Source organism: Homo sapiens, chromosome 10 (assembly GCF_000001405.40).
Source record: "Homo sapiens chromosome 10, GRCh38.p14 Primary Assembly".
NCBI lineage: Eukaryota > Metazoa > Chordata > Mammalia > Primates > Hominidae > Homo > Homo sapiens.
In genome coordinates, this window is record NC_000010.11 from 58376540 (window position 1) to 58400850 (window position 24311).

Below are 24311 nucleotides of genomic sequence, written 5' to 3' on the forward strand. Positions count from 1 at the left end.
GTATGTCAGTATCATTATACCTACCTCCGATTTTACTTTTTCCAGTATTCATTGCTTTCCTGTTTCCATATGGGATCATTTACCTTTTAACTAAACAACTCCGTTTAGAATTTTGTTTAGTGTACATCTTCTGGTGACAAATACTCGCTTGGTTTTGCTTTTCTGAAATGTTTTTATTTTGCCTTCATTTTTACAGGATATTTTTACTGGGAATAGAATTCTGGATGGGTATTTTCTTTTCAGCAATTTAAAGATGTCATTCCATTGTGTTCTGGATTCCATAATTTATTGAAAGGTCAGCTATTATTAGTCTTTTTTTTTTTTTTTTGAGACGGAGTCTTGCTCTGTTACCCAGGCTGGAGTGTAGTAGTGTGATATCGGCTCACTGCAACCTCTGCCTCCCGGGTTCAAGCAATTCTTCTGCCTCAGCCGCCTGAGTAGCTGGGGATTACAGGTGCCTGCCACCACACCTGGCTAATTTTCGTATTTTTAATAGAGAAGGGGTTTCACCATATTGGCCAGGCTGTTCTCAAACTCCTGACCTCGTGATCCACCTGCCTTGGCCTCCCAAAGTGCTGGGATTACAGGTGTGAGCCACCGCGCCTGGCCTTATTAGTCTTACTGCCTTTTTAAAAGTAATATGCCTATTTTCTCTGACTGCTTTTAAGATTATCTTTTTTATTTTTAGCAGTTTTATGACGGTGTTACGAGGTGTAGTTTTCTTTGTCTTTATCCTGCTTGAGGTTCACAGAGCTTCTTGAATCTGTGGGTTGATATATTTTCATCAGTTCTAGAAAATCTCAGCCATTATTTTATGGAATATTGCTTCTGCCCCATTCTATTTCTCCCCTTTAGGGCCCCAGTATAAAAAATATATATTTGATCTTTTGACTGTATCCAACATGTTTTCAAACCTATTTTCCGTGTTTTCCTTTTTTCCCCTCTTTGTCCTTCTGTGCATCAGTTTTGTATTGACCTTTTTTCCAGTTCATTAATCCTATCTCCTGCTTTTTCAATATGCTTTTAAACCCATCAACTCCATTTCAGACATTATGGTTAATTCCAGGTTTATTTTTCAGTTCTAAGTTACCATTTGATTTTTTAAACATATTTTAGTTTTTTGATGAGTTCCTAAATTGTTTTATTTTTTGTCCATATTTTTCTCTAGTTTTTGAAGTTCTTAATCACAGTTATTTAAGTCTTTGCTAACTCTAGTATCTGAGTTACCTGTGGGTCTGTTTTTATTGAATGCCAGACATTGTGCAAAAAAAACCTGTGAAAACTCATGATGTTTTCTTCCACCAGAGAGGTTACATCGTGTGCTCGGCTAGTCAAATAGAGTGTGAAGATGACCACTTTAATGCAATCAGGACCTGTGCTTAGTTGAGGCTGGCTTGCAGTTTTATTAGACCCAAACTGTGTCTAGTTTATCTTTGTTCATAGTGCATAACCCTCTTCAACTGTCTTTGTTTCTCAGCACAGACAGGCTATAGGAAATTCCACCTTGCTTTTCAGTATTTTTGATTCACAGTTTTAGCCTATTGCTCCTGGGAGATTCATACTTTGGCAAACATCTTGAGCAAGCAACCCGCTGTCTCTAAAGCCCTTCAAATCTGTAATTATGTTACATTTGCTGTATGCAACCACCAGACTACTACTGGTTCTAATGTCATGAACAGTCATAAGGGATCAAGCTCGAATCCTGAGCCTTTAGCCACATCCAAATCAACAAGTGCTGCAGGGAGAAGAGAGGATGTAAATCATTGGTGTTAGTTTAGTTCACAACTTCAGTCTTTTTGCTTCTAGGCTGTTCTTTGGGGTCTCCTTCCTCTGTCAGGCTGTTGTCTTCTCAATACTAAGAGAAGAAAATTACACTATATTTTTTTTCAGAAATTTAGCTCTTTAGCCTCCTACCCAACAAAATTAAAACTTTGGCTCTTACTTGAGGGGGAAACTAGTTGTATGTTGAGGTTCCTTAAGTCTCTAGTTTTGTCACTCCAGCTCTGTGCAACCACAAAAAACTCTGTCCTTCAGCAGTGCTCCTCTGCCTGCATAAAGCCCAAATTCTCAGCCTCTAACCTGTACTCCAGGAGAAAAATGACCACAGATACTCAGCTCACCTCTGAAAGTCTCATGACTTCTGCAGCTCTCTCACACTTTCTCAATTATAAGGTTTTATTTTATGCAGCTCTTCTGATTCTCAGTGGAATTTCTTGAAGCAGAAATCTCTACCTCTTCATTTTTTGATGGTACTACCACAACATCCTATCTTTTCCCTACCCTCAAGTCCATCATCCACAGAAGTGTGAAAGTATTCTAACCCCAAATCTGATCTTGTGGGTTATCAGCTTTAACATTTTTAAATAGTTCCCCACAGACTCAGCAGTGGTTTTGCAGAGGGACCTACAGAAAAAAGAAGGGAGATGCTAATGGTTTAGCCTTTGGACCCTGACTTTAACTTGGACCCACTTATAACTTCAAACAGTGAAGCTCATTTTTATCTGATACGTATATCAGGACCCTTTGGGTTCTCAGGTTCTTTCCCCTTGTTTAAATCATGAACCAACAGAATAAAGTATCAAGTCCTTAAGACTCTTGTGGTAAATTTTAGCTTGCATCTCCAGTCTCATCTGCCATTCCCGACTCCCACCAAACTGCCTGCAGTTCTCACTGGATCCCAACCTCTCCCCACTTCCAGTATAGAATGGTGCTTCTCATTCTCAGATTTTGGTCAAATTGTACATTCCGCTCAAAATGCCCTCTTTCCCTATCCTTTAAATCTCTAATTTTTATGTCACTCCTTTTCTTAGCTGTTGAGGTAATAATAGTTCTCATCAATGTTACCATGATTCCCAGTGTGCATCTTTATGCTTGCTGGGATCTACAGTGTCTGGCACACAAGTACTTAAATAGTTGTTCACTAAACAAATGAATGAACTAGGCTTTGGAAGATACTTAGGGTTCTAATTGGCATATTTAAGTAGGGAAGGCATTAATGAAAACAGGAGAAGCCAAACAAAGGTAATAAAGTAGAAATAAGTGAGAATGGCACTGGCAGTCCATGTGCAATGAATGAGAGAAAAGATTAGGTGGAGAACATAGATCTGCTGGATATGAAATCTTGGTTCGATAGCAAGTAAGAAGTGTGTAAGTTTTTAACCAGCCAAATGATATAATGAAAGCATTTGCTTGGGGATATTCACTTAGCAGAGTATGCAATTGGAATTGGAATAGTCTATCAAGGTAGAATCCTTAAAGTCATTCTTGTGTTCTATGTACTTAACCAGTCAATGGAATCTTGCCCATTATACTTAGGCCTTTGGAGTATGAGCCATGGCACCATGTTACTTCAGAATCTCAGACCCTCTTTCCTGGATTACAGCAACAGTCTTCTCACACCCATCATTCTCTGTGCTCCTACTAAAGGGATTTTTATAAAAACAACTTAATTGTGCCTGTAACCTGCCTAAAAAGTTGTTTGGCTATATTTTCCTAACAAACTTAAATTATACATAGTCCTTTACAACCCAACCCCACTCAAATTTAAAGAGGTTTGTTTCATACCACTCCTTTTCACATATACCATGCCCTCATAAATATCTGTGACTTGCACATACTGTTTTCCTTTTCTGGAAGGCATCTCAACCTTTCCCCACTCGAAAAAACAGTTCAAATGTCACCTACTCTATGAAGCCATCCCCTGCTTTCCCAGGTAAATTTAAATGGATGATCGGGCCTTAATCGTATTTGTATGTATTATTTATTTATTTTATGGAGACGGGGGTCTCACTGTGTTGCTTAGGCTGGTCTCGAATTCCTGGGCTCAAGTGATCCTCCCCCGTGAGCCACTGCACCCAACCATATGTACTTTTAGAACTTAGCACAGTGTCTGGCACAGTATTGGCCTCTCCTAGGAACTGAGTTTTTAAAAAATTATCACTAAAAGATGAATATTACTATTGTGTTTTACAAGAAGACTAAGATAATATATAAATTAAAAAATGAGTACCACCCATGCACTCCTGCAATACTCAGATACAATCACTATTAAACCAAATTTTGTGTACTATTCTGCACTCTTACTTTTGCACGCACACTCATGCATATGTGTATGTGTAGTTCTTTAAATTCAAACCTATGTTTTTGGGTGACTGAATACTTTTTAAGAGAAAGGGTCTTGCTATGTTGCCCAAGCTAGATTCAAACTTCTGGGCTCAAGCAATCCTCCTGCTTCAGCCTCCCAAGTAACTGGGACTACAGGCATGTGCCATTGCCCTGGCTTAAGATATTATTTTAGTAAGCCACTCAGATAAATAAGAAAGCATTTATGGGGACTGGAAATAATAGAATGTGAGCAGGTGTTTAAGAAAACTACCGCTTCATGACTGATTTACCTATCCTGTATCTACGTAGAGTCATATATAACTTCAAAGCTGCAAACTGTGGATTCAGAGGTGGCAATTTTTGTTATTAACATGCTAACAAGGAAGATATCCTTCCTATTATTTATACAGTTTTCATAGCTGTACAGTAGAAATCATAGCACCTTAGAGGATTTATGAAAGGATTAGTGATAATGTATGTAAAATACTTGGCATGTAGTTTAGCAATAAATTATAATTATTACCATTTGTATTGATCAGATACTTTACCGTGGTATGAGGGCAGACACATTATATTGTCCTATTAACAGCATTATTCCTTCAATACAATCATTCTGGATTTCTTCCGATCTTTAAGTTAGCTTTCAGTAATATGAAGTCAGCTTTCAGTAACATCCAGTAATATGAATTGGGGTATTATACATTTGCATAAAATTATAGCTGTTCTTTTTGCTTGTCCTACCTCCTGCTGACTCATAGAATCAGCTTTAAAATAGACAAGCTACATTTATTTTTTGTAATGCTGCTACAGCAATGGCTTAAAATAATTCTGATATGCCCTTAATAATTAAGGCTGCATGCAGACTTTGTTCTAATTGAGAAATATTTCACAGATAATAATAATTTCGGGTAGCTGGGAACTATTAACATGCAACAGGTCTTTCTTCTAATTTCTCTATTTCTCTTTCCCTTCCTTCTTTTTGTATATTGATTTTAAAGGCAAACTCCAGTGGCATGAAAACAGACTCTATGTCAATAAAAATGGTTTGAAAGAAAAAATTATACAAGTAGTTTTCCATACATAATTTATTAAAATCTTGACTCACAGAAAAAATAAGCTAGGAGATATTCAAGGTGTAAAATTTTTTCTCATTGCTGCAATGCACTGTTATACTTTTATTCCTTTTGTGTCTTTATGCTTTGTTCCCCCAATCACAGTGTCAGCTCTTTGGGGCAGGATCAATATCTTATGCTTTTTGTGCCCCTTTCAAGTGCTTATCACAGTGCTTTGTAATTGCTTATGAGGAAATTGTCTTTAAATGTGGTGTCCATAGTATGATCTTATTTCCAGAGATATTTTACTTACAAGTTCAGAATCACATCTATTTATCCTGCTAAAACCTATTAGGTAATTGCTCCTGTTGTAGCTAAATTATTTATCTATTATAATTACAAAAGCCAAGACTGCTTTCTCTTAGCAACATTTTTTCTTCATTTGAGTGATATCTGTGCATCTAACTCCATTATTCAGCAGGGAATTATCCAGGTTTCTGGCTGCTCCTGCTGTTTATTGGCACTACCTTCTGCTTTACCAATGTGCAAGTATCAATGAACCATAATCATTACTTTCATGTGTATATATATTTCAGAATTTTACATGGTTTCCATCTCCACACACTGGCAAATGTGTCCTTCTATTGGCAAATGACACTTCTAACAGGTAGTTGTTCTCTATGGGGCTAAATTTATATATAAATAATTTGTGCAGATGCTAATCTTTTCACACTATTCATCTCTCTCTGTGTATCTATATGTCTGTCTGTCATCTATTATCTATCTATCTATATATCTGTCAGTTCACCTATCCATCCGTTTGTCCCTTCATCCATCTATCATGCTCAGTGTACTGTGCTAGGTACAATAGGGGATAAAAGAAGGCATAAGATTTAGTCTTTTCCTAATATAACTTACCATCTATTGTGGAAAAAAATATGTATACATAGAGAAAAAGATCAGAAACCAGAGTGGTACATGATGTCACAAGTAAGTGATGTGAGCTCACACACTATAGATGATCCACTAAAGATATTTTGGGCTGGAATGATGTGGCATGTTCACTGAGTCTGAGTGATCTGATACAAACGAAAAGCACAGGACAATGAATTGCAATTTTTACCTACACAACTTACTGTTGGAAGCTTATGAGTTGGGCTTTCTGAACTTCATTTTTCTCATCTGGAAATTGGGAATAATGATCATGACAATACCTTCTCTACCTTTTCCTTTGATATTTGAATCATACAGTCAAATAAAGTTATTTAAAAATTTCTGAAAATATTAAAGTGCAATCCAACTTCAGGGTGTGTTGTTTTAATTTTTCATCAACTACCACAATGTGTCTGCTCAAATATTACTAATTTAAGAAATATTAAAAGTTCAACAGGAAGAAAGGAGCAATGCTGGTTATGTAATATGTATGTTTGCATGTTAACAGGAAAAGAAAAATTTGTCAGTAGCATGAAATCTGCCAATGGTGGGAGTATTTACACCATAGAACTCAGCAAACACCACAAATTGGGGCTTTCTTTTTTGGAGAGCTATTTACCAGCATATTACTGGCCTGAACAAAAGCAACAGCAATGGGACTAGAGAGAAGGAAATACATACTAGAGGGATGAATGAGGCAGAATCAGCAATACTCATCATCAGTTGGTTAATGGCAGGTGGAGTGTCAATGGGGAGATTCTAAAATGATTTATCAAGTTATTGGCTCAGATGATTAAAGAGGAAAACATGTGCATCTTACCAAGAGAAGGACTTCAAGATGGGTGAAAGATAGTGGATTTTGTTCAGGGAATGTTGAAATTGAAGTACTTGTGGGACATGATGGTGAAAATGTACAGAAGACAGTGGTTATGTGGATACGGAACTCAAAGGAGAGGACTGGGTTCAATATGGCAGTCATGAGGCTATAACTAATAGCTGAAGTCATGGGACTAGAGAACTTTACAACAAAGGGACCCTGGGAAAGGCTGCAGTAAGTCTTCATGTTTTATAAAGTAATTATATACCATGTCTTTTTGTTAAAAGACAGTTTTAGTGGATAAAGTTATGTTTCTTTGTAAATTCTGCTTTTAGAAGTAAAATTATCACTGCAATGTAAATGAGTTTTAAGGAAGATTGGTATCTGATGAAAAATGTTATGGATTTGATTTTTAAGGTCTTTACAGCAAGATTTATACAAATGAAAGTCGAAAACAACAAAAAGTTTAATATCCAAAAGAAGTTTATGTCAAACATTTGAAAGAACAAAAACATTCTAGAACAAAAAGGGAAACAAATTATTTTAGAAATCAACTTAAATGTAACTTCTGTCTGAGCCCCATGTTGTAATTATTTGCTACTTTGCCTCACCTTTGGGGCTGGGGGCGGGGGGTGGGCTGGGGCACAACACTGTGTCTTTTATCTATGTTTAGGGCGTTGTACATAGTATATACTCAGGAAAAAAACCTGTTTATTCCATGCCAGAATGGGAGGTTTGAACAGATGACTTGGAAGGTCCCTTTCAACCCTGGGAGTCTATAAAAGGGAAGTGGTTATTACCGCTTAAAAGAAGAAGTAGGCTTAGTCCTACTTCCAGAGAGCCAATGTTTTCATAGTTACAGAAAGGTAAATAGACTGTCAGCTCAATATGACACTGGTAAGAATTTTCTAACAATTACGGCTATCCAACAGAAGAAAGGCTGTCTCAGAAGGTGGTTAGCTCTGAAACAACTGGTATTTAAGGGCTGGAAGGACCCTTAGGTATCTTTAGGTCTTCCTAATCTTTTTCATGCCATTGCCTATACAGAAAATGGTATTTCTATAACACAAATAAAAAAATTATACAGCAATTTTTGACACATCAATGTCTCAAGGCATACTTGTCACACGTTCTCAGGGCTTTGGCTGGGAAAACTGATTTAGTCTAACATCCTCGTTTGCAGAGGGGGAAACTGAATCTTAACGAGGGAATGCAATATTCCCAAGTCAAGACGTTAATGTTAATACTGGAACTAGAAGAATTGAGACTAGCGACTGTGGACAACTAGCCAGTTTCCTCTGCTCAAATTAAGCAAGCTGGAGGCCAGACTGAAAGACTGCAGTAGATGGTAGAATAAACAGTCTAAAGCTATATTGCTTTAAATGTGGTCTCAAGACCACCGACATTAGAACTTGTTAAATTCTGGGGAACTCGCTAAAATGAAGATTAATGGGCCCCACATAGACACACGGAATTAAGCTCTGCGGTAAGGCCTTGGAATCTGCATTTTTAGGTTTGCGAATCCCCGCCTCTCCCGTTACTATTTCTGAACTCCGAGCTCCAGCCCTGGCTTGAACTGAGACGCTCCGCTGGGCGCGCAGCAGCCGCCGATCGGACCTCGGGGTCCTGGATGCAGGACTGTCTGTTACGTACAGCCCTTGTGACCGTCACGGGCGGACACCGGCCAACGCCGGGTTGGGGTGAGGCCGCCGCCGCGGTCCCTCCATCACCCTCCTGGCCCGGCAGAGGAACCCACTGCTCCGGGCGGCCGGGGACAGAGGTGGCTCAACAGCGCCGCCTCGAAGCCAGAGCCCTCCGCAGGCTAGAGGATTGCGGTTTCCCTTCATCTCCGCGGCTCTTATTCCTCCCCCGCAAGGCCGCCCACCGGGGTACGCTCTCCCGCGCCTGCGCCAATTCCGCCCCGCCCCGCCCCCATCTACCGACCGGATGTTAGCAGATTTCCCATAGTGCCTCGCTAGTGGCGGGCATGATAACACACGCCGGAGGGTCGCACGCGGGTTCCAGTTGTGATTGCTGGAGTTGTGTATTGCCAGGAGGCTCTCCGAGATTGGGGTCGGGTCACTGCCTCATCCACCGGAGCGATGGCGTTTCTCCGAAGCATGTGGGGCGTGCTGAGTGCCCTGGGAAGGTCTGGAGCAGAGCTGTGCACCGGCTGTGGAAGTCGACTGCGCTCCCCCTTCAGGTAGGCCCGCTTGCCTGTGCCCTAGGGGCAGCAGGGCCCAGGACGTCCCGGGGTTGGAATGTAGACCCTATCCTTCACTTTCTGCCCCTCCTAGGAGTTCAGAGTCACCCTGGTTCTTTGATTCAGACCGCGACCTTGCCAAGGGGACGGTGGCCTTGAGACCAGGCCTTTATTTACTCTCTTAATACGCCGTACCTTCTTGCTACCCTCCACTCGCTTCTCCCATCCCTCCTCACTGTCCAGCTTTGGATCCTTTCCGCCTCCTCTGCGAATTCGCGCCGAGTCTCCGGCCATCATCTAGGCATTGAGGAGGCGGGGCCCAGGAGCTGGAGTATAGACGCTTTCCTTCACTCCCTGCCCTTCCTAGGAGGTAAGGGCTTTGAGACTTCAGTCCTGCAGACGCTCCCCTCCGTTTAGGACAGGGTTTTAATAAGTCTCTAGCATTCTTGTTGAAGGCGTTGGATACATAGTATCTTGATGACATTTCTTATTTGGGATCTGTGTTCATATACATGTGAATATTGACAGTTAAACATCTGACACTGGTTATTTTCTTTTTGTTTATATGTAGTTTTGTGTATTTACCGAGGTGGTTTTCATCTGTCTTGGCAAGTTGTCCAAAGAAACCTGTAAGTTCTTACCTTCGATTTTCTAAAGAACAACTACCCATATTTAAAGCTCAGAACCCAGGTAAGGAGTTTTGGGGCATATACCCTTTTCTCATGTAATAAAAATGCCATTAAGCAGTTAAATACCAATGTTGAATTGCAGTGCTAAAGCATTCAGTGACTGCAGGAACAATCATTTGATGTCTGTAAAATAGGAAGTTCTATTTTATACCAAATGGAAATGCTTTAAATATAAATGAGAACTAGTAAATGGTATTTTAAAAATAACGTATAGTGTAGAAAGCACCCTAGGAAGAGGATAAAAAAGCTGAATTTGGGGCCTTGTTGCCTTTGGTCTAGAGGACCACTGATGAATTATTTTCTCTTGCCTAGCTCCTCCTTTTTCTGGCTCAGGGAATTGTTAATAAAGTTGCAACTTCTGTGGAAGCATCCATAAACTGTAAGTTCTGTAGAACTGTAAAGTTCTATGCAATTTACTGCTAATTTCAAGAGCTTTCAAGATAAGAAAGGATAAACCTTTTCATCATAGGAGTTCAGAGCCACTCTGGTTCTTTGATTCAGACCTCGACCTTGCCAAGGGGATGGTGGGTTGTAAAGGATAAATCCTTTCTTGTCTTGGGTTCCTAAAAAAAAAACATTTCCAGGTAGGATGTTTGTTGACTCTCTAGAAAGCCTCTCGGCGAGAATAAAAAATGCTCACATCAGGCTGGGTGAGGTGGTTCACACCTGTAATCCCAGCACTTCGGGAGGTCGAGATGGGTGGATTGCTTGAGCCCAGGAGTTCGAGAACAGCCTGGGAAACATGGAAATCCTGTCTCTACCAAAAATACAAAAATGAGGTGGGCATGGGGGCGCAGTGCCTGTAGTCCCAGCTACTTGGGAGGCTGTGGTGAGAGGATCACTGGATCCCAGGAAGTTGAGGCTGCAGTGAGCCATGACTGCTCCACTGCACTCCAGCCTGGGTGACAGAGCGAGACCCTGTCTCAAAAAACAATAATAATTTTAAAAAAAAGCTCACATTATAGGTAAGGAGTTAGTTTCAGAGACATGCTTAAGTACCCACATCTTTTAAATGTAAGAGTTAGTACTAACAGGTATTTTTAAAAATCAATTAATTGCACGCCATCATTCCGGTTAAGATGAAGAAGGAAGTGGAGAATAACAGATTGAATTTCGAATAGCTTGTTTCCAAATGATATTTCTGTTATTGAAATACGAGGCTGTGTTATATGGATCGAGAATGTATTTTGTTGTTAGCTTTTATAAATTTAGGAATTCCTCAAAGACTTGAAAAAGTGTTTTGCTTGAAATATGGAAGGGAAGTAAAAAACTTGAAGCAATTGATCATCCAGCTTCTTAAACTAGTAATCAGCCTGGTGTGGTGGCTCGCGCCTGTAATCCCAGCACTTTGGGAGACTGAGGCAGATGGATTGCTTGAACTCAGGAGTTTGAGGCCAGCCTGGGCAGCATAGCGAAACCCCGTCTCTACAAAAAATACTAACATTAGCTGGACATGATGGCGCCTACCTGTAGTCCCAGCTACTCGGGAGGCTGAGGCAGGAGAATCACTTGAGCACAGGAGGTGGAGGTTGCATTAGGCCAAGATTGTACCACCGCACTGCAGCCTGGGTGATGGCCTGGGTGACGGACCCTGTCTCAAAAAAAAAAAAAAATCCTAGTAATCAAACTGTTGACTGTTTCTGGTGGTATATGGTATACTCCTTAGTTGTTAGATAATAGACTTTTGATAATGTTGGATAAATTACTTACGTTTAAATTAGTTGGATAAAGGAAAGTTAAATCATTATATTAAGTTATGTGTGGTATGGATTGTGCTTTCCTGGATATCTTTAGAAATTAATCCTGAGAGGTAAAATTGTGGCATCTTTTTTCTTTTTATTTCATTCCATAGATGCAAAAACTACAGAACTAATTAGAAGAATTGCCCAGCGTTGGAGGGAACTTCCTGATTCAAAGAAAAAAGTAAGCACATAAGTTTTCAACATTGCTGACCAGTTATTCTGCAGTTAGGAGCAATTGTCATGTCCTTTAAAGGACCAGATGGATCAGACTTTTTAAAAAATAATCTGTTATCTACAAAGAAACTTTATGTCTTCTCATCTGCATAAATAATGAGAATATGGATGTATGGGGTGGAGGTGAAGAAGTGGCAGTAGTTTGAAAATGGAAGCTGATTACTAAACTCTCACCTTGATTAGTATATATAAGGAAAATGTATGTTTTAATCCATATACATCTCATCCCAGAGCACATTTTCCACCTGGTGATAAAATCTGTCTGTCTGAAGTCATGCAGTTGCCTTTCCCTGGCATGTGCTATGTTGAATTTGCCAGCAATGGTTTGTTGACTTACTTGGGTTTTTTATTTATAGATATATCAAGATGCTTATAGGGCGGAGTGGCAGGTATATAAAGAAGAGATAAGCAGATTTAAAGAACAGCTAACTCCAAGTCAGATTATGTCTTTGGAAAAAGAAATCATGGACAAACATTTAAAAAGGAAAGCTATGACAAAAAAAAAAGTGAGTATCATTGAAATACTTTTTTCTTATGGTAAAGAATTGAGATTTATATAACTATGAATATAGGTAGTTTTCTCTTAATAGGCAAATAAAATATGGTAGAATGTCATCAAGTATTCTTCAGTTAGGCAGAAGTGGGATAGTTCTCTTATGAAAAGTGAGATAGCCACTAGGACCACTTGCCATTGAGTCTGTTTGGAAATCCTTGTTGCTACTTGCAGATGTATCCACATTTAAGGTGTACAGTTCGTAGAACAGTAATGGAAACTACAGGAACAGAGTTATGAAACAGTCAAACCAGGAGTATCAAGAATCTTTGCTTCTGAGTCTTCTTTAGAATAACGTATTAATTTGAATTATTCTATAGATTATGGTGAGTTTGATATGGAATATTGCTGAGTAGACTGCATTAATTCATTAACACATCGGAAAAATGCCAATTTATCTAATCAATTAAGTGCCTTTAGGATGGAATTCTTTTTTTTTCTTCAAAGAAATAACTATTAAAAACCTCACATGGTTCAAAATTTGTAGTTCCCAGCTTAATGTATTAATTCACATAAATGTCATCATTTGAAAGTTATACATTTTTTTCATAGAGCCAGTATTAGTTTTGAGGTGGTCAGTTTGCTAGTCGTGTACCTACACTATTACAAATGATCATCAGAGTTAAAACTATTTCTTTGAAAGACTAGATTACAGCCTTGAATGTGGGATGCCAATACGTCTTTCCCTGACCCTAATGTTTTAAGCTGTCCTAGCACTAGGGTTGAGGACCCGCCCAGTTTCGAGACCATGATGCCGCTACTTTAGGGTGGCTGATCTAATCAGTAAAAGGGAGCCAGAAAGATACTAAGAGTGAAAAATAGAGTGTCTACATAAGGATGGTGTTTGGAAGAGTGATTACTAAAGTATATCCTCCCTCTTTCATTCTCCCTTCCTCCTTAATGCACCCAGCCCACTGTGCTAAGAGTAGAGAGGACCAGAAGCATGAATTGGACATTTATAAAGTTTCCCTTGTCATTCTCTCTTTCTTTTGTAATTGTTCTTGACTCCCAGTACCAACTAGTTCAGAGATCAAGTGAGAAGTGTGAGGACTAGGAAGTTACAAGTAAAACCCTCAGGAGAGAAATCCCTAGTGATAGCTCTAGAAACAAAGAGGGAAATAGTTAAGTTGTAAAGTGCTTGGAGTCTATAGTAGTTTCAATACTCAGTGACTGAGAGATTCAGGAAGAAGAAACTAAATCAGAGGAGCCCTACTTACAGTTATGAATAAAAGTTGAATTTGTTACTGATTATAGCCAAATTGCTATTAAGAGCCACAGAATTTTGTAAATTACAGGTACTACTTACTATCCAAATTCAGAAACTTAAGTATAATAATGCAATATCACTCCCTGAACTCAGAAATTAAACTGATAGTAAGGGATACTTGTATTCTTTTCCACAGTTTCTTCCCTTTTGGTAACTAGTAAAATGAATTTAACACAACTATGGAGCTTTAAAGGTGGAGACATTCAGGGAATGGAGTGAGATGAAAGATTATTAAACAAATAGTCCATTGTTCTTGGGTTGTGGTGGAAGCATGCAGTGATTTGGTCAAGGGGACAGTAGTATCTTACAAGGATGAACCTAAGGTTGTTTTATCTTTTAAAAAGGTTTTGTACATATATATTCAGTTATTTAGTTCATGGAGACTATGAGAATAATAGGTAAAGGAAATGGTTTTGTATGGAAAATAACTGGTGAAATCTAACATAATTTTCATAACAGTGCTGTCAAAAAAATTCTGACCGCAAGATGTAATAATCACACTATATAAGAATCATAACATTCACTTTAAGGAATAATCTGTAATGCGTAGTAGTGAATAAAGTTTCTGTAGGTAAAATTAAGTCTCATGGAGGTTAACACTATTTTTGACCCTCCAATTTTTTTAATTCAGGAGTTAACACTGCTTGGAAAACCAAAAAGACCTCGTTCAGCTTATAACGTTTATGTAGCTGAAAGATTCCAAGAAGCTAAGGGTGATTCACCGCAGGTAAAGCTGAAATATATTTTTGTTTAATTTTTAAAATATTTAGACAGGAAAAGTCTAGAGTGCCATGTGTCAGGTAGTGAAGAAAAGTAGTGAATATCCAGACAGTAAACTCTTTTGCTAAGGCCCTCTTTAAAGAAAAATCTTTTTTCTTACCATATACAATCAATTTAGGTATGTAGTTGCCAACACATACATACATACATTGCCAACTTTTTAAATTTAAATACTTAACATTTTTTTTAATATGTAGGGATATTAAAGTTCTTCTGGAGGCTTTTCTGTTCCAGCAGTTCTTAACTGTTTTACGATCACTAGAAAGAATGAGAGTAGAGCTGCAATATTTTCTATGGGGAATTGATTGTAACCTATTGCTTCATTTATATCTTTTAATAACATTTTGGTTATACCCATAGGGATGTGTTATACATGTGAATGCATCATATCAGTGTGTCAAAGAAAAAGAAAGCTTGTCAATCCCTGCTGTGGCTTAGTCTTTCCTATTTTTTTGCTGCTTAGAAGCTCCAAATGGGCAATTGCTTTTTTTCCTGTATCATATGACATAGTAAGAGAAATGGATGTTTAGATCCGTAACCCATGTTAATCTAAGATGAAGTTTTTGGCACTCTGCCTACGGGATTATTATATCTGTAGTTCACTTTACAAATTCTGTTTCCATATCCCTAAATAACATTTTTATATTGTTGCTTCTTGATTTTTTTTCAACTTTAATCATTGTTTATCTTATGCTTTAAGCATTACCTACCACCGTTTAAGCTAGACATTTAACTGTCATCCCACTGTTGTCATGTTTCGATTCCCCTACCTCCCAATATAGTTAAAATTTTGGTTAGCTTGGTATTGTGTGTCTATATTAGGTTGGTGCAAAAGTAATTGTGGTCTTTGCCATTAAAAGTAATGGCAAACACAGCAGTTACTTTTGCACCAACCTAATAGTATTATGATTATGTAAGCTGTATTCACAGCTGACATATGCTATGATTATTTTTTCTTTCTTACGAAACTTATTTTCCCTGAAGTTGCTTATGTCTGTTTGTTCACTTAGGTTTTTTTTTTTTTTTTGTACTTACCAATAATTCACCCTCAAACTCCTCGGTATTCACCAGCTTTTAGTAAATTTAGGATGTGTTTTTCTTTCAGTTTAACTCTGAAAACTGGGGTTTGTTCCAGTGTGACTGTTGCCTTCTAATCCTAGTATACAGCTAACATCTTGAGATTGCCTTCATTATCCTTGTGGTGCTGCTTTTGCTTCTGTTGTTTACTTTTTTGGTTTACTCTGATTCTTGTATAGCATCTTTCCCAGTAAAGGTGCATGGGAGATTAAATTTTTGAGTTTTGCATGTCTGAAAATGTCTGTATCCTCACATTCACTTGTTAGACTGGGCATAGAATTCTAGTTTGGAAAACATATTTCTTCAAAATGTAAAAATTCCTTTTCTTCTACCTTATTGTACTGCTTTTGAGAAATCTAAAACTGTTTTGATTATTGGTCCTTTAAATGTGATCTGGTGCTTTTTTTTTCCTCCCCTTTAGAACTCCTGCTACATGTATATGCATCTTCTGAGCTGGTCCTTATTTTCTTATTTTTTTCCGTACTGTTTTCCTTTAGTCTTCTTTCCTTTTTTTTTGTTTTGTTTTGTTTTGTTTTTCCTGAACTGCTGGATACATTTTAACTTAATCTCTCTGCTTTTAGTATGGTACCATTTCCCTCAACTGTACCTGTACCTGGTTTTCACAGAGTGACACTATTTTACTCTCTAGAGAGGATAAATGTCCTAAAATTTGCCATGGTAGAAATTTAACCTCTTTTTTTTTTTTGAGACAGGCAGCCTGTTATACAGGCTGGAGTGCGGTGGCACTATCTCAGCTCACTGCAGCCTCTGCCTTCCGGGCTCAAGCAATTTTCCCACCTCAACCTCTTGAGTAGCCAGGTCTACAGTCATGTGCCACCAAGCCTGGCTAATTTTTTGGGTATTTTGTAGAGACGGGGTCTCATCATATTACCCCAGGCTGGTCTTGAACTCCTGAGCTCAGGTGATCCACCCACCTCAGCCTCTCAAAGTGCTGGGATTACAGATGTGAGCCACTGTGCCTGACCCAACCTCTCTTTATTTTTTTTGAGTCGGAGTCTCACTCTGTGGCCCAGGCTGGAGTGCAGTGGCGTGATCTCGGCTCACTGCAACCTGCGCCTCCCGGGTTCAAGCGATCCTCCTGCCTCAGCCTGCCTAGTAGCTGGGACCACAGGCACGTGCCACCACACCTGGCTAATTTTTTATATTTTTAGTAGAGATGGGGTTTCACCATATTGGCCAGGCTGGTCTCGAACTCCTGACCTCATGATCTGCCTGCCTCGGCCTCCCAAAGTACTGGGATTACAGGCGTGAGCCACCACACCTGGCCCTAATCTCTTTTTAAACAGTCTTTCAGCCAATCTTGTGTTTAACCTTAGCTTCACCTGTTTTACACCTGTCTGGTGCTGCCAATTCCTGAGATATTTGGGAATTCTGTATGGTAAATTAAGTTGCTTTTAGGTTTTCTCCACTGTCAGTTTAACAATTAGCTTTCTTTTGTCAGTTAAGTCAGTTACCACTAATGCATCTGCTTTTCAGCTTCCAGAATTTTGTGTTGATAGTGCCCTCTTCTGTTGTCTTTATTCATGTGGGATTATCCTTTAAAAAGATTTCTTTGTTTAATGGGATTTTAGGGAAAGCAAAAGTAAACATCTTTGGCTGGGCACAGTGGCTCATGCCTGTAATCCTAACAATTTGGGAAGCGGGGTGGGAGGGTTGCTTGATTCCAGGAGTTCAAGACCAGCCCTGGGCAACGTGGTAAGACCCCATCTTTACAAAAAAAGTTTTTTAAAAAAATTAACCAGGCATGGTGGTGCATATCTGTGGTCCCAGCTACTCCAGAAGTTGAGACAGGAGGATCACTTGAGCCCAGGAGGTCAGTGCTGCAGTGAGCTGTGATCATACCACTGCTTTCCCACCTGAGTGACAGAGTGAGACCTTGTCTCAAAAAAAAAAAAAAAATTCTATCCCTTTAATTTTATAAATGAAGAGCCAAGCCCAAGGGAGGTAAAGTGACCTTTTCCAGGTCATATAATTAAGTTCAACTAAGTAGACTTACTGGACTTGTGCTGTATTGTTCTTATTACTGCATCTAAACACTGAAGCACAGATTTTCAAATAAAACCTAAAGCTACAGGGAAGGAATAAAAACAGACTTTGAAGTTAGTTTATGACAACACATAGATTATACCTGAATATTAATATTTCCGAATCAAAAATATGTACCTTCATTCAGTTCATTTTTGTAAATTGTAACAGTTTGATAGTTTTTGTTTAGAGAGAAAAGATGTTAAGAATTGATGAGGCTTTGCCTGTAATTCTTGGTATCTTGAGTTTTTGTTGGAATGAATAATAAAGGTCACTGAAGTCCCCATATCTACCTTAACTTAAACATATATTGTTTTACAGGAAAAGCTGAAGACTGTAAAGGAAAACTGGAAAAATCTGTCTGACTCTGAAAAGGAAGTGAGTATTACGGTTGTTAGTCTCAAGTGTCTACTTAGGATATCTGTGAGAGAATGTATTAGGGCAAGGCTTGATTCATGTGAAGACAACCTTGTATTACTAATAATACAAGTATTCTAAAATTATTTTCATATTCTCAGAACCAGTTTGGCATTTTTCTCTTGGTAGTTTTTGTCTGCAAATAAAATTGGTATTTGAAACCACAGCACTCATAAGCCTGAGTGTCCACTTATTCAGTGGCAGTGATACCCTGCTGCTGCCCCCTTCCTGCACCTCAAGATCTGAACTTGTAACAATTTCATTCAAAGAGATAACAGTCTATCTCTTACATTTTCATCATCTAACTTTTATCTCATGAAAATATTTCTTCTCCAGTCTGCCTTTATACATGTAGAATGGTAATGTAATTTCTAAAGTATATACAGAAGCATTCCAGAAATTAATTGCTATTTTAAATAATCATTTTATCTCAAAAAATAAGTAAATCATTTTAACAGTTATGCTTTTTCTCAGTTATATATTCAGCATGCTAAAGAGGACGAAACTCGTTATCATAATGAAATGAAGTCTTGGGAAGAACAAATGATTGAAGTTGGACGAAAGGATCTTCTACGTCGCACAATAAAGAAACAACGAAAATATGGTGCTGAGGAGTGTTAAAAGTAGAAGATTGAGATGTGTTCACAATGGATAGGCACAGGAAACCAGTTAGGTCTCAATACCTGAAGCTATCGTAAAATTAAGAAAGGATAAAGTTGGTAAACCTTTTATATTTAGTATCTTTTTATTCAGCTCATGGACTTCTGCCAGCATAATACTTGCTTTGGAAAACCCAGATAAAGGTTCATGCAAACTTTATTTTGTGTTTAGGAACTACTGAGGATCAGAGTAATCCAAGCAAATGTGAATCATTTTACCTTTGACAAAGGTAAATCAGACTATGAAGTTTTTTTTATACAGGATGATGACTATGGAAAGAGTACTCTTGTTTCCTTATATTATGGAGGCAGGAGTTTCGTTTTCAAAATTGTTACAAATTGTAGAAGCCACGGTGTTCTGTGATATAAGTGTGTGTTTTTCATAAAGCAGGCAGAACTCATCTAGGTAAATTACAGTTCCTAGGTATAATTCACATTGTATTCAGAGTTGATGGTTGTACATATAAGTGATTGCTGGTTTTAGTTGCAACTTTGTATAAAAGGGACTGAGAAATTTATAAACTTTTTTCTTACTGTCTTTTTTCTAAAGTAAAAACAAAGAAATTATGTGCCAGATTTATGCATATTATTTTATGTTGCATAGAATAAAATTTTTAATCTTTAATTTTACATTTCCTAAATATATTTTAAGACGAAACATTTGTTCTATAGCTTTTCCCTTTTTTTAAGTAAGGAATTTTATTTTTTTCTGAATTATTTTCTCTCGTGAGTATATTGATCCAGAAAGAAAACTTGTATTATGTGTGTTTTAAAATGAGAAATCTAAAAAACGAAAAGTCTCCAAAGTCTCTGGAATTTGAAACACTTTGCATAACGTATAAAAGCCTGTTTAAGAGACAGCCAACTATGGCCTGTGGATCAAATCCAGCCTGCTGCCTGCTTTTTATGGCCTGTGAGCTAGGAATTGTGTTTATAATTTTAAATGTTTTTTTTTAAAGACTTTTATGATACTTGAAAATTAACATGAATATTTAGTGTTCATAAATAAAGTTTGTTGAAACACAACCAAGATCATTCTTTTACTTGTCTATGGCTGCTTTTCTGTGGCAGAGTAGCTGCCACAGAAACTATAGCCCACAAAGCCTGATATTTACTGTCTGTCTGTTTATGGAAAAAATTTATCAACCCATGGTCTATAGTATAGTGTGATATGACTACTGTTCCAATGTATTGAAGTGTTGGGATAGTTTTTTCAAATGTTTTCAGATGTTCTTGTTTTAGAATCATTGTCACCTTTAAGAGGAAAAAGGTCATCACTAGATAATCTAAACAAATTGTTGCTTCTCAGTGTTAGCAAGGAAAATAATCTAGTTTCAAATTACATTGCAGTATAATGAAAAAGATCCATATACTGTGGAATGATATTCTTTTAAAATTATTTGCTATGGCTTGGTAAAAATGTACTTTTTCCAGTAGCACATATCACAAGAACCTCACTGTAGTTGAAAGCCATCTTTCTTTAGTATTTGTTTATCCTTTTAGGAGAGTCAAGCAAAGGTTTTCACCACCTGTTTGAGCAGAATAATTCTCATCAGTTCACAGATATAGGATAACTCAATTTATATGCACTTTATGCGTTATGCAAAATATTTAGAAATTGTAGATTCTAGATCTCCAGAAAGACTTTGAAGACTTTGATGTCACAAAAAGATGACTTGTTATATGCTGAGCTTGACAAAGGTAGGAATGGGAGAGAAAAATAGTAGCTTATGAGGAAATATGAGGCTTTAAATATATAAAGTTGGATATTTTAAAATAACTTTTCCCTGTGGGAGCTTCTCACTCTGGGTGCAGACAGGACAGTGTTGGCCATTGGTGAAATAGATAGGATGGGTTTGAGGCCAGAGCAGTCTGGGAGTAGGGGGAAAGAGAAGGAGGTGTGCTAGTGTCTATCACAGGCTTTCTCAATTAGGTTTGCAGGAGAAAAAGCCCTAAGTCCCTGTGTCATCTAGAATGGTACTAATTATGTACAGTCCCTAGGAGAATGGAGAAAATCATAACTCAAATCATCGACTCAATTCTGTTCTCTTCAGATGAGCTCAGAGAGCACATAGGAGTGTTTGTAATGAGGGGTATGTAATGATTGAGATAGAGGAATGAGTTACATAAACATCTCGGGACAAATGCAGCATAGAAAACATCTTTGTAGTTACCCTGCGGGGAAATTTCCTCTGAGTTCTTTTAACATTAACTACCCGTATTATTTTATACTTAACATTCATATCATACCTTCCCAAATATATTGGGAAGTTCAGTGTTAAGTACGTTTCTCAAGTACTTAACAACTTAATATAGGGAGGAAAGGTGTAAACAGTGAAAAAAGAGCAAAACTATTTTATGGTAATTTTATGGTAGTATCAGCTTGTATTTGGTTCTCTGTTTCTAAAATAATGTAATTTTTAATATTTTAAATAATAGGATAACCTGGTTTCCAAGCCTTTTTTTCCCCCGACATCCAGAATACACACTGGATCCAAGCCTTTCTTAAACATCAGTACATGTGGAAGACTGGCATGCCATATACCAAATGCCATTCAGCTGTAACAGTATACACAGATTTTCTCTTATAAAGAATAAGAACATCATAACCAATGACCACTCATATAAAGTCTTATTTGTGTGTGTGTGTGTGTGTGTGTGCACGTGTGTGTGTTAGAGTCTCATTATATTGCTCAGGCTGGAGGGCATGGTGTGATCTTGGCTCACTGCAGCCTTGACCTCCTGGGCTCAAGTGATCCTTCCGAGTCGTTGGGACTACAGTAGGTGAACACCACCATGCCTGGCTAATTTTTGTATTTTTTTTTTAATCAAGATGGGATCTTGCTATGTTGCCCAGGCTGGTCTCAAACTCCTGGCATCAAGCGTTCCTCCTTCCTTGGCCTCCTTAAGTGCTGGGATTATAGGTGTGAGCCACCATGCTTGACCATAAAGCCTTACTATTTCTTTTGGAGACACAGTCTTGCTCTGTCCAAGCTGGAATGCAGTGATGTGATCATGGCTCACTGCAGCCTTGAACTCCCAGGCTTAAGAGATCCTCCCATCTCAGCCTCCTGAGTAGCTGGGATTATAGGTGCAGACCATCAAGCCTTGCTATTATTTTTTAGACTTTTCTTAATTTCATCCAACAAAGTAGTTGCTGTAGGAGCTGAGTGTTAGAAGGAAAGATGCTGAAGAAATGAAATCAAGCAGGGTGTATACTGTCATGAATAGGCATACAGTAGTTTTTATACTTTTGTTCTTTGGAGTACCAATGTTAGGTTTTACAAAAGTAATTTGATGAGGGGAAGGAGGGTTGTGTATTTATTTTACTTTCTGATGTTTGCTTAAATAATACTGTGTACGTATTCAGCTTGCTGTAATTCTGTAATTACGCTATTGCGTTTGGCTAACTCCTTTTTGGAAATGTCTTTTTTTTTGTACAAGGCATGTGTTAGTTTTTACTAATTGCTCTGAATGTGTATATTTAGATTTCTGAATTGAAAAAAAATAGCGTACAATAAGTAGATTTAAAGTAATTAGAACACTTTATTGATTTTTCTGATGTTTTCTGTATCTAAAATTTATCACCACCAGGTTGTGCTAAAACAGCAGGAAGTTTTTATATTGTGAGTGACAGTACCCATTATTTCTCTTAATTTTACTAACATTTACTATAAGAATATTCTCTCGCTCTTTTCTCCACTCACAGCCATTCTCCCTCCTTCTCTTCATAACATCAAGCTGTCACAGACAAATCTGAAAATGTTACAAGCACAGACTATGTTGTATGTTTTGAAATTTTAGAACAGTAATGTTCTTTTTAAAATTGAACTTCTGCAGAGTAAGAAAATGAATACATTTATTACTTTAAATTTGTAAAATTTTCCAAAGTAAAACCATACAAAGCTAGTGTCAGTCTCTCTCATTGTTCACAAATAAAGGACTTTTGTTAATTGATTAAATCACTTACTATATTCGATATGAAATATATAAAACATACAACCATTATCTAATACATTTCAGAATGTTTCACTGGTTACAGGAGCCAGTAAATAAAGTTGACTCTAAACAGGAATTTTAAATAAACTAAACATTTTTTCATCACCAAGCATCATTTATATATTGGTTTCTGATTTACATATGTGATGTCTAAGAAAATCTCTGACTTTATTCTTTTTTGCCTGTATTAATTTAAAATTTATCCCATTTCGTCTCCCCCTTCCCACAAATCAGGTATACAATGGGGGAAGAGGGAAAGGAGTACATAGTTTTGACACAGTGACCTTTTATTATATAGGTTACCAACTGCTAGCCTTCATATTTTTAGAAAGGGCAGTTTTGATTAGACCCATCTATGAGGTTCTGTTTTTTTTTTTACTGGAAATTTCATGCGTTAAATGTTGGGTAGGATTAAGTGATGAGACGACGGGTCCAAATGTATTAATCACTGGGAAGTGTTGAAGTATTACCGACCATCTTACTCATTTCTTTATTTTTTCCTCTCAGTCACCAGTCAGAACAGGTCATCAGTAGTTGTGTAACTAAGATGAACAGGAACTTTGGTGTCAGGGGATACTTAGTGATGCCAGTAGTTTTTCCAAGCTTGAATTTATACTGTGACTATCAGGCAATATTTAGATGGGGGTAATGGAAACTTTTTTAAAGTATAGGAATTTTCTCCTTATGCTGACATAAGTAACATCTGATGCTGTAGAAGCTTAGTATCAAATATTAATTGGACTGAAATAGTTCAGAATATTTTCCCAAAATGATTTCCTCCCACTCAGTTTTTACTTTTGCAGAGCTTCTACTTACCATTTGTAGTAACCTGAATGACAATAAAATGGTGAAAAAAAGATTTGAAATGGTGAAACCGCCTTCTTCCAGATATCATTCAGGTGACTAAAATGCAAAACCAAGTACAATAGACAAATAATAGCAACACTAGAAAACAAGAAATACTACCGTCAATAGAGCAGCAATTTCTAGGTATTTTTGGAAGACAGGAGGGACATAGGGATTGACAGGTGTTTGTTGGTGTCAGTGTGAGCAAACCACGTAAGCTGAGTGAAGCAGAAATGGAGAGGTCTCACCAATTCTGAGTAGTGAGGGCTAGTAACAAAGATTAACCCTAAGGTGGGTGGACATGGGTGTGTGGTGGCTGGTTCCTGTAGTCGCAGCTACTCAGGAGGCTGAGATGGGAGGATCACTTGACCTAGGAGTTCAAGTCAAGCCTGGGCAACATGGCAGGACCCTATCTTTAAAAAAAAAAAAAAAAAAAAAAAGGCCCTTAAGGTGGTTGGAGAGAAATTACAGGGTGCATGGGGCAGGAGAGGGGTAGGTATCAGTAGACGTAAGGTTTGCTTTTTTCTCCCCAGTGAATATTTTACTCAAAACTGAGGAAAGTAGAGTGATACGCTACTGCAGAATAGGTTTTTTGTTTTTTTTTTCAAGCCGGGTGCTGTGATTCTTGACTATGGCTGAGTAGAATCAACCGTCAGTGCATGCAGATAGCTGGGCCAGAATCTGGAGGGTGGAACTGGCCATTTAAAAAAGTTCTTTAGATTTAATAATGTGGAGCTATCATTGGTGGGAGTAGTATTATAACTCAGAGCTTCCTAACTTCCTAAGCTGGCAGTTCAGTAGTGGCTGATAATGAGTGAATCATGTATATGGCAATCTTACACTTGTTATTGTATGTCTTTTTTATAGCCATCCTAGTGGGTTTGAAGTATCTC

At 37.9% G+C, this 24311-nt stretch overlaps 1 protein-coding gene across 5 annotated transcripts, besides 4 other annotated features; it reads left to right on the plus strand.

The window, feature by feature from the left end:
• Nucleotides 8322–8421: an enhancer, noted in NCBI's record as "active region_3385". NCBI's record gives its function as "activates an Ori minimal core promoter by ATAC-STARR-seq in GM12878 lymphoblastoid cells {active_cell/tissue: GM12878}" and the evidence as "EXISTENCE:reporter gene assay evidence [ECO:0000049][PMID:35858748]".
• Nucleotides 8552–8931: a silencer, noted in NCBI's record as "silent region_2379". NCBI's record gives its function as "represses an Ori minimal core promoter by ATAC-STARR-seq in GM12878 lymphoblastoid cells {active_cell/tissue: GM12878}" and the evidence as "EXISTENCE:reporter gene assay evidence [ECO:0000049][PMID:35858748]".
• Nucleotides 8552–9271: a biological region, named in NCBI's record as "NANOG-H3K27ac-H3K4me1 hESC enhancer GRCh37_chr10:60144914-60145570".
• Nucleotides 8615–9271: an enhancer, noted in NCBI's record as "NANOG-H3K27ac-H3K4me1 hESC enhancer chr10:60144914-60145570 (GRCh37/hg19 assembly coordinates)". NCBI's record gives its function as "activates a minimal SCP1, AML or CMV promoter by ChIP-STARR-seq in naive and primed H9 embryonic stem cells {active_cell/tissue: H9 hESC(naive and primed)}" and the evidence as "EXISTENCE:reporter gene assay evidence [ECO:0000049][PMID:30033119]".
• TFAM (transcription factor A, mitochondrial) lies at nucleotides 8871–22681 on the plus strand. Of its 5 annotated transcripts, NR_073073.2 has the most exons (8): nucleotides 8871–9109; nucleotides 9681–9799; nucleotides 10111–10177; nucleotides 11651–11721; nucleotides 12131–12280; nucleotides 14226–14321; nucleotides 17819–17875; nucleotides 18389–22681. NR_073073.2 is itself a non-coding variant. In NM_003201.3 (7 exons), exons 1-7 carry the CDS (start codon nucleotides 9009–9011, stop codon nucleotides 18533–18535), a joined length of 741 nt encoding a protein of 246 aa, NP_003192.1. In that variant the 5' UTR covers nucleotides 8871–9008; the 3' UTR covers nucleotides 18536–22681. The 5 variants fall into 5 exon arrangements, 4 of the variants coding, with proteins under 4 accessions (NP_003192.1, NP_001257711.1, XP_047281653.1 ...); NM_003201.3 differs by lacking the exon at nucleotides 10111–10177; NM_001270782.2 differs by lacking the exons at nucleotides 10111–10177; nucleotides 14226–14321.

Excerpts from the sequence above, each read along its gene's own strand:
- TFAM (NM_003201.3), top strand. The coding sequence starts at position 9,009 with ATGGCGTTTCTCCGAAGCATGTGGGGCGTGCTGAGTGCCCTGGGAAGG. Across the intron at positions 12,281-14,225 it reads AAGCTATGACAAAAAAAAAA|GAGTTAACACTGCTTGGAAA; the intron begins GTGAGTATCATT and ends TTTTTAATTCAG. Across the intron at positions 17,876-18,388 it reads TGTCTGACTCTGAAAAGGAA|TTATATATTCAGCATGCTAA; the intron begins GTGAGTATTACG and ends GCTTTTTCTCAG.